Source organism: Homo sapiens, chromosome 5 (assembly GCF_000001405.40).
Source record: "Homo sapiens chromosome 5, GRCh38.p14 Primary Assembly".
Taxonomy (NCBI): domain Eukaryota; kingdom Metazoa; phylum Chordata; class Mammalia; order Primates; family Hominidae; genus Homo; species Homo sapiens.
The window spans coordinates 80,888,795-80,903,506 of NC_000005.10; the positions used below are offsets into that span (position 1 = coordinate 80,888,795).

The window sequence follows — 14,712 nt, forward strand, 5'->3', positions numbered from 1 at the left end:
GCTAAGGAGAAATGTAAGGTCAGTCTGATTTATTTTTCTTGGGGATTACATTTCCTTATGGTGGATAGATATTCTCTATCCTTGAAGTTCAACACTATAACCAGAATTTGTTTTATTAATGAGTAAGTTCTATTAATTTTCCCTAAAACACAGCCCTTTTATTCTACTTAGTCTAGCTTTCCTTTTATACAGAAAAATTTTCTTCTACTGTGTATTTGAGCATTATTTTTTTTTTCTGTTCTCCTCTTTAGAAAACTATAGGCCAGGTATGGTGGCTCATGCTTATAATAACAGCACTTTAGGAGGCTGAAGTGGTGGATCCCTTGCACACAGGAGTTCAAGACCAGCCTGGGCAAATTGCAAAACTCCGTTTCTACAAAAAATTAGCTGGGTTTGGTGGTGTGTGCCTGTAGTCCCAGCTACTGCAGAGGTTGAGGTGGGAGCATCACCTGAGCCCAGGAGGTCAAGACTGCAGTCAGCCGTGGTCATGCCACTGCACTCCAGCCTGGGCTACAGAGCGAGACCCTGTCTCAGAAAAGAAAAGAAAAACTGTTACCACATGTTGACGCTATTGAATTCTATATGGGACCTTTTTAGTAATAACTTTTATCTCTGTAACCCCAGCTATTCTTATCCTCCATTGCTCTCCGTTTCTCTTTCCATTTGTTTTCTTCAGATCCTAAGATATCACAGCCCATGTTTTTTCTCTAAAACTTTAAAAGTTTTCAGGAGGAATCTTCAAATGTATTTTCTTTTTTTTTTTTTTCCAAAATAGGGTCTCCCTCTGTTGCCCTGGTTGGAGTACAGTGGAGCAATCATGGCTTGACCTCCTGGGCTCAGGCAGTCCTCCCACCTCAGTTTCCCAAGAAGCTGAGACTACAGGTGTGTACCACCATGCCCAGCTAGTTTTTGTATTTTTCGTAGAGTCAAGGTTTCACCTTGTTGCCCAGGCTGGTCTCAAACTCCTGGGCTCAAACAGCCCTCCTGCCTCAGCCTCCCGAAATGCGGGGATTATAGGTGTGTGCCATCACACCGAGCTTCAAGTGTATATTCTGCATTTATCTTTTTCATGTTATAGCCCTTAATTATAAAAATTATTTTTGCATAGGTTGCATACCATCATTTTCCTTATCTTTGAGTGGGGACAGTTCTGCATAGACTGATATTTGCCCAGTGTAGTAAAAGTAAGTATTAATGCACCTGCCTTTTCCTAATGCTTTTACCTTGTAATCTGTGTGGTTATTCAGTTACTTTCAGCGGAGATAGGCAGGGAGCAGCAGAGAATAGTGATGCTGAGCAGCAAATCAGCCAGCCCACTTTAGGTATGCTATCTCCAAGCATGCAATCACTGTTATCTGTTTCTTTTTTTTTTTTTTTTTTTTTTTTTTTTTGAGACAGAGTCTCACTCTGTCGCCCAGGCTGGAGTGCAGTGGTGCGATCTTGGCTCACTGCAAGCCCCGCCTCCTGGGTTCACGCCATTCTCCTGCCTCAGCCTCCCGAGTAGCTGGGACTACAGGCAGCTGCCACGACGCCTGGCTAATTTTTTGTATTTTTTAGTAGAGATGGGGTTTCACCGTGTTAGCCAGGATGGTCTCGATCTCCTGACCTTGTGGTCCGCCCACCTCAGCCTCCCAAAGTGCTGGGATTACAGGCATGAGCCACCGCGCCCGGCCTGTTTCATCTTTCATCACTAGTGTATGTCTAGTCTGGTGTAAGGGGAGAGTAGTGGACAGTCCCAGGTTTCTCATGCTCTTCAAATTGGAGGACAGTGTGAGGTTCTGTGGCTCCCTGGCCATTTATTTAAAAGGTCCAGTCTTACTTATTTATATTTAGTCATCTTTGCTCTACAGCAAGCTGGTTCCCTCTGCTGCTCATCTCTTGACCTCTCTCCCTGGTTAGGAAACTACACAGGAGGAAATAAAAATGGCATGACCAATGGACATAACCATACATACTGTATGGCTATGTATGTATGACTCCACGTATACCCAGAGTAAAAAGAAGCAAAACCAACTTACCCCATTAGAAAACCTCCTTTGGTGAAGGACAAGGCAGCCTTCTGTGGTGATGGTAATATCCTGTATCTGGAGATTGTTACCACGTGGAAGGTCTTAACTATAAGTTGTCCTGGTTCTTGATAAATTGAACAAAACACAAAGCAACAAAAGAATGAAGCAACGAAAGCACAGATTTACTGCAGCAAAAGTACACTCCACAGAGTGGGAGCAAGCTGGAGCAAGTGGCTCAAGGGCCCCAACTGCAATGCTCTTTAGGGTTTTTATTAACTAAAAGAATTTGGTTATACCCCTAAGTACCCTTTAGAGGCCTCTGATAGGTTATACACTATGCAAATGAAGGATTGGACCAATCAGAGGCTGAAGTGGAGGCTTGTCCTGTGACCATTCAGAGGCATTTCCCATTTGTGACATAGGGGAGAGGAGGTTATGTAGAGGGAGGGACCTCTGGCCCCTTGTCCCTTGGGCATGGAGAGGTGGGGTTTTCCTTTTGGTCCAATTTCAAGAAGTCAGCCACAGATTGGCCTTAGGCTCCCTCTTTCCAGACCTTATTCTCCTGCTTCATTTCCTCCTAAGAGACATGATTCCCATGAATCTTTATGGGAGACAAAGGAATCGACGGCCTTTCTTCTGTAACTGCTTCATGATGATTGGGGCGCAGTCCCTACCTATTGGGGACCATGGAACTCTCGCCCCGTTCTGTCTAGTGGAGACAGGATGACTTCTTGATGACCGGGGCTGGCATTGTCACCTGGAACTGGCAGGAAGTCCTGCTACATGATCATTTGAAGCTTAATGGCCTCAAGGCAAGAAGAAGTAAATCTGGTTAAAAGATTTAACAAACATTGTCCAAAAATCAGTACAAGTATAATTATTAATAATGGGCCAGCCAGGGGAAGGAGCCATGAAGCCCACCTTAGTGCCCTTGACCAGGAGCCCCATGACTTGGACAGCTGTTGTCGTATTTCAGAGGCCTGCTCAGCTAATTGTCAGCCAAAATCCCTTACTAATCCTGATTTGGTTGATATAAAATCAGCATTCTTCCTCTACGGAAAGACATAAGCCACCTTTTTCAGCAGTTAGGGTATCCAGTCCCCTTCTATTTTGTAAAGCATCCACTGCTAAGGAGTCTATCTGATTTTCTATGGTGACAATGCTCTGGACAATGTTTTCCAGGCTGTCTGAAAGATCCTTGGACAGCATTGGTAATAGGATAGGGAAGTTGCAAGCCTGGTAACTCCTGTTTCTACTCCTGCAGTTATTCCTAACCTCATACTAAAAGGGGCATGAGTTGGATGGTTCATTTGTGCCTGGCGGTTGCAGTTATAGATATAATGAAAGACTGGTTATTGGGAGGCATATTGATCTTGGAGCTAAATAAACAAGTGTACAGATTCGAGTCCAATTGGCTGGTAAACATAAGTAGGAACTAGTCTCACATGGGAAAAAGGCTTCTTGTTTTTCAAGACAAAAATTGTTCTCTATGGTGAACGTATGAGTTAGCTTGTTGTTTTCACTTTCCCAAGTGGTTAAAGTCCTTGCTAAAGTGGCCCCGATTAAAGGCTGGAAGGAGCCTTGGGAAGTATCCTGAGTTGCTCCAGTGGTTTTGTTCTTCCCTCAGTGTAGGTAGTTATGCTTAGTATCCACCAACAACCACCTAGAGGTATTTTCATAATGGGGAACTAAAAGGCAGCTAGATGTCTCAGAGTTAGTACAGTCTTCCCAAGGGAAAATGTGAACACAGCTGGTGGGCCTACCCTGACAGTACTTAGACAGTACTTAGTACTTAGACTGTGAATCCTTTAAAGTACCCTTAACTAGGGGTGGTTTCCCTGAAAACTGTACAGGTTTCCTAAATGATGCAGTCTGGGTAACTGCATAGCTTACATGATCATGTGAGGGGTTAATACCTAGGGTATAGCTGCATTGATGACTTTTCAAAATTTTTGCTTCTTTTAATACAAAGGGCCTGACCAAAATTTTTGCTTCTTTTAATACAAAGGGCGCATGGAATCTTAGTTCTGTGTGCATTGATATTGAGCCCCAAATGGGTTTTTGAGGGGATGTGACCCCAGAAAGGTTGCTTTGGTAGGACTGGAGAAGGTTTACTGTTTATCCTGTCATTGTAACCTTTGTCAATTTTGTAACTTTGGAGTCATATAAGTCATCCAGGTTCATTAATTTGAAGGGGATTCTTCCCTTATGGTTCAGGTGAGATAGGTCATTTTTTCAGAGGCCCAAGATTGGGTTGGGATTGGGATGGCAGCATATTTGGATGATGATGGAGATAGACGAAGCCAACAGTGCTTTGCCAAAGGTGGACTGGTGGTATTTAACAGTCTTTGTGTTTAATTAATGTTCTTAATAAATAACCAGAATTCACTAATTGCCGGAGGGGTAGGGTGAGCCCCACTGAAAAATTAAGCTAATTCCCTGTATATACGGTCCAGTATACACAGGCCATGGCGAATCATTATGGGAGCCAAAAGCACTTAAGTGTTATTTTGTCCTTTTGAATAGGAACTTCAGGTCTTCGGGTAGTGGTGATGGGAGCTTCAGGTTCCAGGTCCAGGACTTCAGGTATGGCAGACTTGATCCTGGAACGAGGTATCCAACTATCTAATGCTAGTACTTTGACTGCAGAAGGCATAGCCAACACCACTGAAAAAGGTCCCTTCCATTTGGGTTGTAGTTGTTGAGTGGGGGACCCCTCTTTCCGTGTTTTAACAACTACCTTATCTCCTGGCCTGACCTTGAATTGCTGGTTAGTTCCTGATGTGGGAAGCCTTTGAGTTCCAAACTTTTGTAGTGCCTGCTGAAATTGTCCTAGGTTAACTAGGTACTGTATTAAACCAGCCATTTCTGGATCAGTAATTAGATCATTAGTTAAAAATGGCCTCCTATATAGCATCTCATATGAGCTCATATGTATTTTTGCTCTCTAAAAGTTGTGGATTCTTAAGAGGGCTATGGGCAGTAAGCTGACCCAAGTTTCTGATGTTTCCTGGCATAGCTTAGCTAACACCCATTTCAGAGTTTGATTAGCCCTTCTTTCCCAGAGGATTGAGGCCTCCGTGCTGAATATAAATAGTATTTGATTCCGAGAGCCTTAGCAACCCCTTGAGTAAAGATGGGCCGTTATCACTTTGGAGGCTTTGGGGTTACACAAACCAGGGATTATTTCCTTTAAGAGAACCTTTATAACTTCATTAGCCTTCTCTGTTCTGGTAAAGTAACCTTCAACCCAGCCAGGAAAGGTGTCTATTAGTACTAACGATAGAGACAGGAGACAGCCAAATGCCACCCAGATCATTGTGCACAGGGAGCTTGCCTAAACATGGCCACGTTGAAAAATTCTGTCCCTTAATACATGCACAGTAAGGGAAATAAGTCAGTGTGGAGTGGCTCAGACTAAGGGCCCCCCTGCACACTGTAAGAATGGTGTGGAGCACCAGGAATTCACACCTTCTCTCAGGAGGAGCCTGGCCTCTTCAGCCCCTGTGTGGTGGCCTGGTATTCAGTCTGTGAGGTGGGAGCCTGTTGGCAGGACCCCCTCTTTCTTTGCTGAGAGCTTTCTTTTCACCTAATAAATCTGCCCTCCTCGCCCTTCAATGTCTGTGTGCCTAATTTTTCCCAGATGTGAGACTAGAACCTGGATTTTAGCTGAACTAAGGAGCAGAAAATCCTGTATCACTAGCAAGAACTTGCATCCTCTGCAGGCTGGCATATGGGGAAAGTCCAATTGCCTGGATGAGTTCACCTTCTCTGGACTGGTTCCATTAGAGGAGGCATTTTGTTTCCTGAGTTGTTGAATGCACACAGTGAGCAGGCTTGACAGACCTGCTTAATCACCAAAGCTAAGTTAGGCCCAATAAAGAGCCTGTTTATGATGGCCAGAGTAGCATCTCCCCCCATACAGAAAGATTCATGCAGGGTGTTTAGGCTGGGCACTGTGGCTTATGCCTGTAATCTTGCCACTTTGGGAGGCCTAGGTGGGTGCATCACTTGAGGCCAGGAGTTCAAGACCAGCCTGGCCAACATGGCGAAACCTCATCTCTACTAGAAATAAAAAAAAAAATTAGCCGGGCATGTGGTCTGCACCTGTAATCCCAGCTACTCTGGAGGCTGAGGCAGGAGAATCGCTTGAACCCAGGAGGCAGGTTGCAGTGAGCCAAGATCATGCCACTGCACTCCAGCCTGGGTCACAAAGCGAGACACTGTGTCCAAAAAAAAAAAAAAAAAAAAAAGTCATGCAGGGTTTTTATAACTTTCCATTGGGCTGTTTGAGGGAGATATATACTTTTGATCCTGTATGCCACCAGGATCCTTGTTTTTGTCCCCCTCGTTCTTTTATTAACTACTCTTCTGTGATGTGTATTCAGATTCTACTGGGAATCATAAAAATGGAGGCAGTGCTAAGATTTGTTGAGACTGCACCCCATGGGCTGCTGCGTTGGCTTTCTTAGTCTTTTTGTTCCCGTGTGCTATACGGGTTAAGTCCTTTTGATGCCCCTTACAATGGATTATGGATATGACTTTTGGCAAGTGTATCGCTTCCAATAGTTGAAGAATTTCAGACCCATGCTTTATGGGGGAATGTTTACTAGTTAGTAGTCCTCTTTCTTTCCAAATTGCAGCATGAACATGAACCACAAGAAATGCATATTTAAAATCTGTATAGATGTTAACCTTTTCCCCTTTTCCTAATATCAGGGTTTGAGTAAGAGCAATTCTATCAGCTTTTTGTGCTGACATGCCTGGGGGCAGCAGCTGGAAATCAGTAATGGTATTGTAATTTAATACTGCATATCCAGCCTGGCATTCCCCACCCCCACCCCACCCTGCATTTGACATGAAGCTACTGCAATCTATGAATCTGTCATCCTCTGAATCTGGGAGGGGCTGATCTTTTAAATCATGTCGGATGACATATGTGTATGTGATGACCTGCTCGCAGGAATGATTAATTATTGGGCCTCTGGGAAGCAATGAAGCCATATTTCAGGGTGTTATAGGTTTAAGGGTAACCTCTGGATTGTCCAGGACCATAGCCAGGTATTTGGTTAACCTTTCTCCTGTCATCCAGATACATCCTTTTATTCCTAGGACTGACTTTACCTGATGTGGGCTTAACACTTCCAGTGGTTGACTCAGGGTGATTTTAGTGGCTTTCTCCACTAAAATAGCAGTGGCTGCTACTACTGCCCACAGGCAGGTTGGCCACCCTGAAACCACTCCATTCAATTTCTCTGAAAAGCAAGTGGTTGGTCTGGGTTCTGATCCCAATTTCTGGGTTAGCACTCCCACAGCTATACCCCAAATACTGGACCTGTTGGAGGGTGAATTGAACCTTCTTTTTGGACACTTTGTATTCAAGTAAATTCAAGTTTCTCAAATGTCTGCCAGTAAATTCAAGGTTCTTACAGTATTTTGGTCAGATGCGTCCCAGGTTGGACTACACACAAGAAGGTCATCAGCATACTGGAGTACACTCCCGTTTCCCAATTGCAGATCCCTCAGATCCCTTTTTCTTTTCTTTTTTTTTTTTTTTTTTTTGAGGTTGAGTTTTACTCTTGCTTCCCAGGCTGGAGTACAGTGGCACGATCTCGGCTCACCACAACCTCCGCCTCCTGGGTTCAAGCGATTCTCCTGCCTCAGCCTCCCGAGTAGCTGGGATTACAGACATGAGCTACCATATCTGGCTAATTTTTTGTATTTTTAGTAGAGATGGGATTTCTCCATCTTGGTCAGGCTGGTCTCGAATTCTCGAATTCAGGTGATCCGCCCTCCTTGGCCTCCCAAAGTACTGGGATTACAGGCATGAGCCACCGCGCCCAGCTCCCTTAGATCCCTTTCTAAGGCTCAGGCAAAAAATAAAATAAAATAGGGGCTATCCCAAAAGCCCTGAGGGAGTACTGTCCAACTAGTTGTATTGTCATTGTTCTCTGCCGTTAGGATCTTCCCATTCAAAATAAAAAGGTATTGAGATTCTAGGGCCAGAGGAATGGAAAAGAAAGCATCTTTTAAGTCTAGGACTGAGAACCATTCCCCGGCCCTTGAGTTAAAAGAACATATGGGGCTGGGCACAGTGGCTCACGCCTATAATCCCAGCACTTTGGGAGACCGAGGCGGGTGGATCATGAGGTCAGGAGATCGAGACCATCCTGGCTAACATGGTGAAACCCTGTCTCTACTAAAAATACAAAAAAAAAAATTAGCCAGATGTGGTGGCAGGTGCCTGTAGTCCCAGCTACTTGGGAGGCTGAGGGAGGAGAATGTCGTGAACCCAGCAAGCAGAGCTTGCAGTGAGCCGAGTTCGTGCCACTGCACTCCAGCCTGGGCTACAGAGCAAGACCCTGTCTCAAAAAAAAAAAAACAAACAAACAAACAAACAAAAAAAAAAACGGAAAAGAATATATGGATCTGCCACTAATGGGTGGACAGGTATCATGGCTTCATTAATTGCACCGAGATCCTGTACTATACTGTGTTCTGAAGGCTTTAAAACAGGTAAAATGGGGGTATTGTAGGGAGAATTTCAGGGTTTTAGAGTCCTTGGCCAAGCAACTCCTTAACTACATATGCTAAGCCCTTTCGTGCTTCCAGCTTAATTGGGTATTGTTTTTGGTTGGGAAAACGACTGGATTCTTTAAGCTGTATTTTGGAGCACTGCCATTCTAGCTCTTCCAGGCCTCCCAGTGTACCATGCTAGTGGTTGACATGTTTGTTGACATGGCCTGGAACATTGTCTGCATCACTTAGCGTTAGCAATCTTGATGGGTGGTACTTAAATTGTAGCAGTGCCCCTATTTTAACCATAATATCCCTTCTCAAGGGGACTGGGCAGCTTGGTACTATTAGAAACTCCTGTGGGAAAATGTGTTTTTCAGATTGGCAGGTTAAAGGAGAGATAAAATGCCTGACTTTATTTTTCCCTTCCATTCCTATAATAGTCATGGTCCTAGTTGAGGGTTTTCCTGAATAAGCAGTAAGGGCAAACTAGCTTGGCCGTGTATTAAAAAGAAACTGAATTTGGGCCAGGAGTGGTGGCTCACACCTGTAATCTCAACACTTTGGGAGGCCAAGGCGGGCAGATCAGGAGGTCAGGAGATTGAGACCATCCTGACCAACATGGTGAAACCCCGTCTCTACTAAAAATACAAAAATTAGCCAGGCATGGTGGTGTATGCCTGTAATCCCAGCTATTTGGGAGGCTGAGGCAGGAGAATCACTTGAACCTGGGAGGCGGAGGTTACAGTGAGCTGAGATCATGCCACTGTACTCCAGCCTGGGTGACAGAGTTAGACTCTGTCTCAAAAAGAAAAAAAGAAAAAAAAAGAAAGAAACTGAATTTGTTTGCCCATCACATCCACAGTTACCCAGGGCTCCTCAGTAGTAATAATGATGTGCCTGGACAGGGGCAGTGAGGAAGTCCCAGGCCCCTTCAGTCTTCATCTAGCTCCTTCTTTTGCACTGCTAGAGTCTTGACTGACTGAGCCCCTTGGTGGGAGCCAGGGCAGTCAGTTCTCCAGTGCCAGGGGTCATGACTGGTGCTTTCACACTGATGGCAGCGGCTTAATGCAGTCCTTTGCCCAATGTCCATTTTTCTTGCACTTGAAGCAAGAGCCTTGTTGGCATCATCCTTATGGCCCTTTGGGTTTCCCTTTAATGCTCTTTGGGCACTTAGCGCGTTGGCTGTGATGGCTACCATAATTTTGGTGTGTCATTTTTTCTCTACTCTGTTCTTTTTTCCCCTCCTCCAGGTCACGATTGTTATATACCATAAAGGCAGTATCAGGAAACTGATTTTGGTTATTAGTGGTCCCATATTGCAATTTTTGGAGCTTGCACCTGATGTCCAGAGTGGACTGGCTGATAAAATGCTGTGCCATTAGCACAATACCCTTGGGAGAGGAAGGGTCTAAATTTGTATATTTTCTGAAGGCCTCTTCCAACCTGCCATAAAACATAGCTGGGTTTTTCTCCTTCCCTTATGTGACTTCCCTGACCTTATAATTTATGGTCTTGGTTATCCCCTTTTTCATCCCTCCAAGGAGTGCCTCAAGAAACTTTGCTTGCCTGTTTATTTCCACAGGGGTATTATAATCCCATTTAGGGTCAGTGGTGGGCACTGTGTCTGGGCCCAGGTGATTGCCCTGGGGATTTCAGGCAAACGTATTGTCTGCCTCACAGTGGGCAGCTTCAAAAATGCTTTCCTTTTCCATAGGGGTGTAGCAGCATGCTAAAATAAATTGGATACCTCTCCCTGATAAATTGAAGGCCAGAACCAAGGTCTGGAACCCATCTACAAACTTGCCAGGGTCGTCAGAGTATCTTTTCAGTTTTTCTTTACATTGTTGAATATCAGTTATGGCAAATGAGACTTGCACTCAAAGTGGCCCTTCTGCTCCTGCTACTTTCCCTAAGAGGCAGTAGTGTCAGGGGAGCTGCTGAGTAGGGTGTTCCACTTCGGTTATGTTGGGGGCTGAATATAAGTTTTTTCCTTCTCTGGGTGGCCTTGCATGGTTGGAGCATTTGACAAGGGGTTATATAGGGGTGGCTGTGGTTCCCCCTGAGAGACAAGTGACCCTTGTGAGAGAGGATCATCCACAATGTCTGGCTCAGTCTTGGGGCTCTCCATTTGAGGGCAAGTCTTGGGAGACTTACAGATGGAAGTATTCTGATACAAAGCTGTAAAAGCTTGAATGTGTATGGTATTTCTGACCATTTACCCTGTCTTTTGCAAAATAAGTCTAATTGCAGAATAGTGTGTCATAGTTAAGGCACCCATTGACTGGCTGTTATTCCTGACTGTCCAGCTGATACTGGGGCCATGCAATATTACAATGAAAAATCAAGCGTTTCCTTTTCAGATTGTCAGGGTCAAATTGACTCCAGTGGTTTAGGATGCAGCCAAGAGGGGAATCAGGTGGAATAGATGGGGTGCTTCCCATAGCGGTCTGGAAGAGAAAAGAGATCCTCAGGAGGGCTTATTTGTTCATCCACAATTTCTACCTGGGGTATCCTCGAGGGGAAGTCTTGGGTTTGGCATTGGATCCCCAGGGGGATCCCTTTAGGTCAAGTCTTAGAGTGTCAGACATCTCTGACCTTAGGTGGGCACTGGCACCACTTTCTGTGTTTTCCCTTGGTAGGCAATGGCCTACCGTGAGCTTCTCTTTTGTTCCTGGGTATACTGTCTGGCGTTTAGCATCCCACCAATTTAGATACACCATATCTTCTTGCATTCCTTGTAGGGTTATGGTAATAGCCAAAAATCTTAATATCAATAACATTAAGGTTGGTGGAGTATTTCTTGTAGCCAGGAAGGATGGAGGGTGGTATATGAATCCCTGCGGCTGGTAATTTACTTTGGGGTCTGGACAGGAAAAATAATGTTTAAGAAGCCCCAAGATGTGGGGGTCTTCTCTAAGCTTGTTCTTTTTTGCACTTTCCATGTATAAACAAACAGGGCATGCAGATAAGTAATGGGGGGCTCAAATGCAACAACAGTTTTGCAGTCCCTGGCCCCCACAAAGCATCTGCAAGGCAAGGGTAGAAATTAGAAGGTGAAGGATTAAATTATCTCAAAGACATTATTGCTGCACATACGCAAACCTGACCGTTGCATGGATTTGTCTTGTGCTTGGCAGGATCTAGATGTCCTGTTCCATGACTAAGTTATCATGTCATGGGAGACTTCAAGCGGTGGATGCCCTAGTGGCTTTTAACTGCCCCACCCATGCCTGCAAATGGCAGCCTTGATAAAAAGAAGGAGAAAAAGAAATCTAAACTCCTGGCAATTGTGCTTACTTCCTGGCTGGCTCGTCAATATATGTTACCAGATGGAAAGTCTTGACTGCAGGTTTTCCATGTTTTTGGCATGTCGAACAAAGAATTGAACAAAAGGCACAAACAAAGCAATGAAAGAATGAAGCAATGGAAGCACAGGCTTTTTTTTGTTATTTTTGTTTGTTTGTTTGTTTTTTTGAGATGGAGTCTTGCTCTGTCACCAGGCTGGAGTACGTGGCATGATCTTGGCTCACTGCAACCTCCGCCTCCCAGGTTCAAGCAATTCTCCTGCCTCAGCCTCCCAAGTAGCTGGGACTACAGGTGCATGCCACCGTGCCCAGCTAATTTTTGTATTTTTAGTAGAGATGGGGTTTCACCATGTTGGCCAGGATGGTCTCGATCTCCTGACCTTGTGATCTGCCCACCTTGGCCTCCCAAAGTGCTGGGATTACAGGCATGAGCCACCGCACCCGGCCAAAAACACAGATTTTTTGAAGCGAAAGTATACTCCACAGAGTGGGAGCAAGCTCGAGCAAGTGGCTCAAGATCGCCAGTTGCAATGTTCTTTAGGGTTTTTATGAACTAAAATAATTTGGTAACACCCTCAAGTACCTTTTAAAAGCCTCTGATAGGTTACACACTATGCAAATGAAGGATTGACCCACGATCAGTCAGAGGCTGAGTGGAAGCTTGGCCCATGACCAATCAGAGGCTGAAGTGGAAGCCTGTCCTGTGATCAAAGGCATTTCCCATTTATGACGTATGGGAGAGGGGGATTTGTAGAGGGAGGGACCTCTGGCCCCTTGTCACTTAGGCATGGAGAAGTGGGGTTTTCCTTTCTGTCCAGTTCCAAGAAGTCAGCCGCAGGTTGCTGTTAGGCTCCCTGTCTCCAGACCCTATTCTCCTGCCTCAGGATAATGCTAGTTACATGGGTATGTCCACTTAGTGCATTTTTGTATGTATATTAAACTTCAATAAGATTTGTTTTCAAAGCATGCTGAAAGGTTATTCTTCAAACTTTCTTCACCTGCAAGCTGGGTATGCAATGAGTGCTCACCACGCATGCTGAGTTCATGCATATCCCACTCTAACCATATCCAGTGTAAGCATTGTTGAGAGGGCTCACTGCACACTCCCTGTATCTTGCATAAGATGAGTGTCAAATATCAGCACGCTCCTTCAGTTTTTTGGTCCCCATTTCATTGTATTTGACAGACGTTCTTCAGAGTCTATTCAGTGGAATTGTGGCTGTTCTGATTTCATTATAGATATTTCCTTCTCAGTGTTTGCTTGGCCTTGTTTGTTATTTCTCAGGGGAAGAAGTGGAGGAATACATTTTATGTCCCATCCATGTTTCCTGGAAGACTCGTCTTTCCTTTTTTAGAAATGATGAATAAAATTGGGCATAATTTTGACCCTAAACCTAATCTTAGCCATACTTTTTGGGACTGGCTCATTTTTAAAAACAAAAAGTTAGCCTATATTCCTGCTATTGAATTATTTAAATAAGTACCCAATTCATATAATTTCTGAAGGCTATAAGATGTGTTCAGAAGAAGCCTTTAAGAATTCTTCTTTGTCTTCTGCTGTCTCTTTGTAGCTGCACCTTGCCTGGTGGAACAGCACACAGAGTTATTTCTTTGTGTAAAATGCATATTTAGTCATGCATTTTTTTTATTGTTTTTGTTTTGTTCAGGCTCTGAGGTATATTTGTGAAGGTTATGAATCAAAAATAAAGTAGGGGTATAGCAGTTTCTGATGTATCAGGGGAACCAGCCTCCAGTATCTCAACGTAGGTTCTTTTCTATTTTCCCTAAGTGTTGGCCGGTCTGAGAAATAAAGAGAAAGAGTACAAAAGAAAGAAATTTTACAGCTGGGTCTCTGGGGGTGACATCACATGTTGGCAGGTTCCTTGATGCCCCTTGAGCCACAAAACCAGCAAGTTTTTATTAGGGATTTCAAAAGGGAAGGAGTGTACGAATAGGGAGTGGGTCACATGCTTCAAAGGCAATAAAATATCACAACAGCAGAGAGGCAGAGTGAGATCACAAGGCCAGGGTGAAACTAGAATTACTGATGAAGGTCCATGTCCTGCTGGGCACACATTGTCATTGATAAACATCTTAAGAGGAAACAGGGTTTGTGAGCAGACAACCAGGCTGGAATTTCCTAATCCTAGCAAGCCTGGGGGTGCTGCAGGAGGCCAGGGCATATTTCATCCCATGTCTACAACTGCATAAGACAGACACTCCCAGAGCAGCCATTTTAGAGACCTACCCCTGGGAATGCATTCGTTTTCCCAGGGTTATTCCTTGCTGAGAAAAGAATTCAGCGACATTTCTCCTATTCGCTTTCTGAAAGAAGAGAAATATGACTCTGTTCTGCCAGGCCCCACAGGCAGTCAGACTTTATGGTTATCTCCCTTATTCCCTGAAAATCACTGTTATCCTGTTCTTTTCAAGGTGCTCAGATTTCATATTGTTCAAACACACATGTTTTACAAACAATTTGTGCAGATAACGCAATCATCACAGGGTCCTGAGGCGATATACATCCTCAGCTTACGGAGATGACGGAATTAAAAGATTAAAGTAAAGACAGGCATAGGAAATTATAAGAGTATTGATTGGGGAAGTGATAAATGTTCATGAAATCTTCACAATTTATGTTCAGAGACTGCAGTAAAGACAGGCATAAGAAATTATAAAAGTATTAATTTGGGGAACTAACAAATGTCCATGAAATCTTCACAATTTATGTTCTTCTGCCGTGGTTTCAGCAGGTCCCTCCGTTCAGGGTCCCTGACTTCCCGCAACACTGATGACCAGAAACAAAGAAGAAAAGTCAATGATGAGGAAATCTTAGCTGTGTCTTAGGAGCTCACAACCTGTATGGGTCATAATGGATT

General features: G+C 44.2%; 1 long non-coding RNA gene across 1 annotated transcript in view; it reads left to right on the top strand.

Annotated features, from left to right (window-relative positions):
• Nucleotides 1-962: 962 nt before the first annotated feature.
• LOC107986428 (uncharacterized) overlaps nt 963-14,712 on the top strand; it is a 32,170-nt gene continuing 18,420 nt past the window's right edge. The window contains exon 1 of the long non-coding RNA XR_001742759.2: nt 963-1,184. This is a non-coding gene — a long non-coding RNA (uncharacterized LOC107986428). The remainder of the gene's footprint in view (nt 1,185-14,712) is intronic.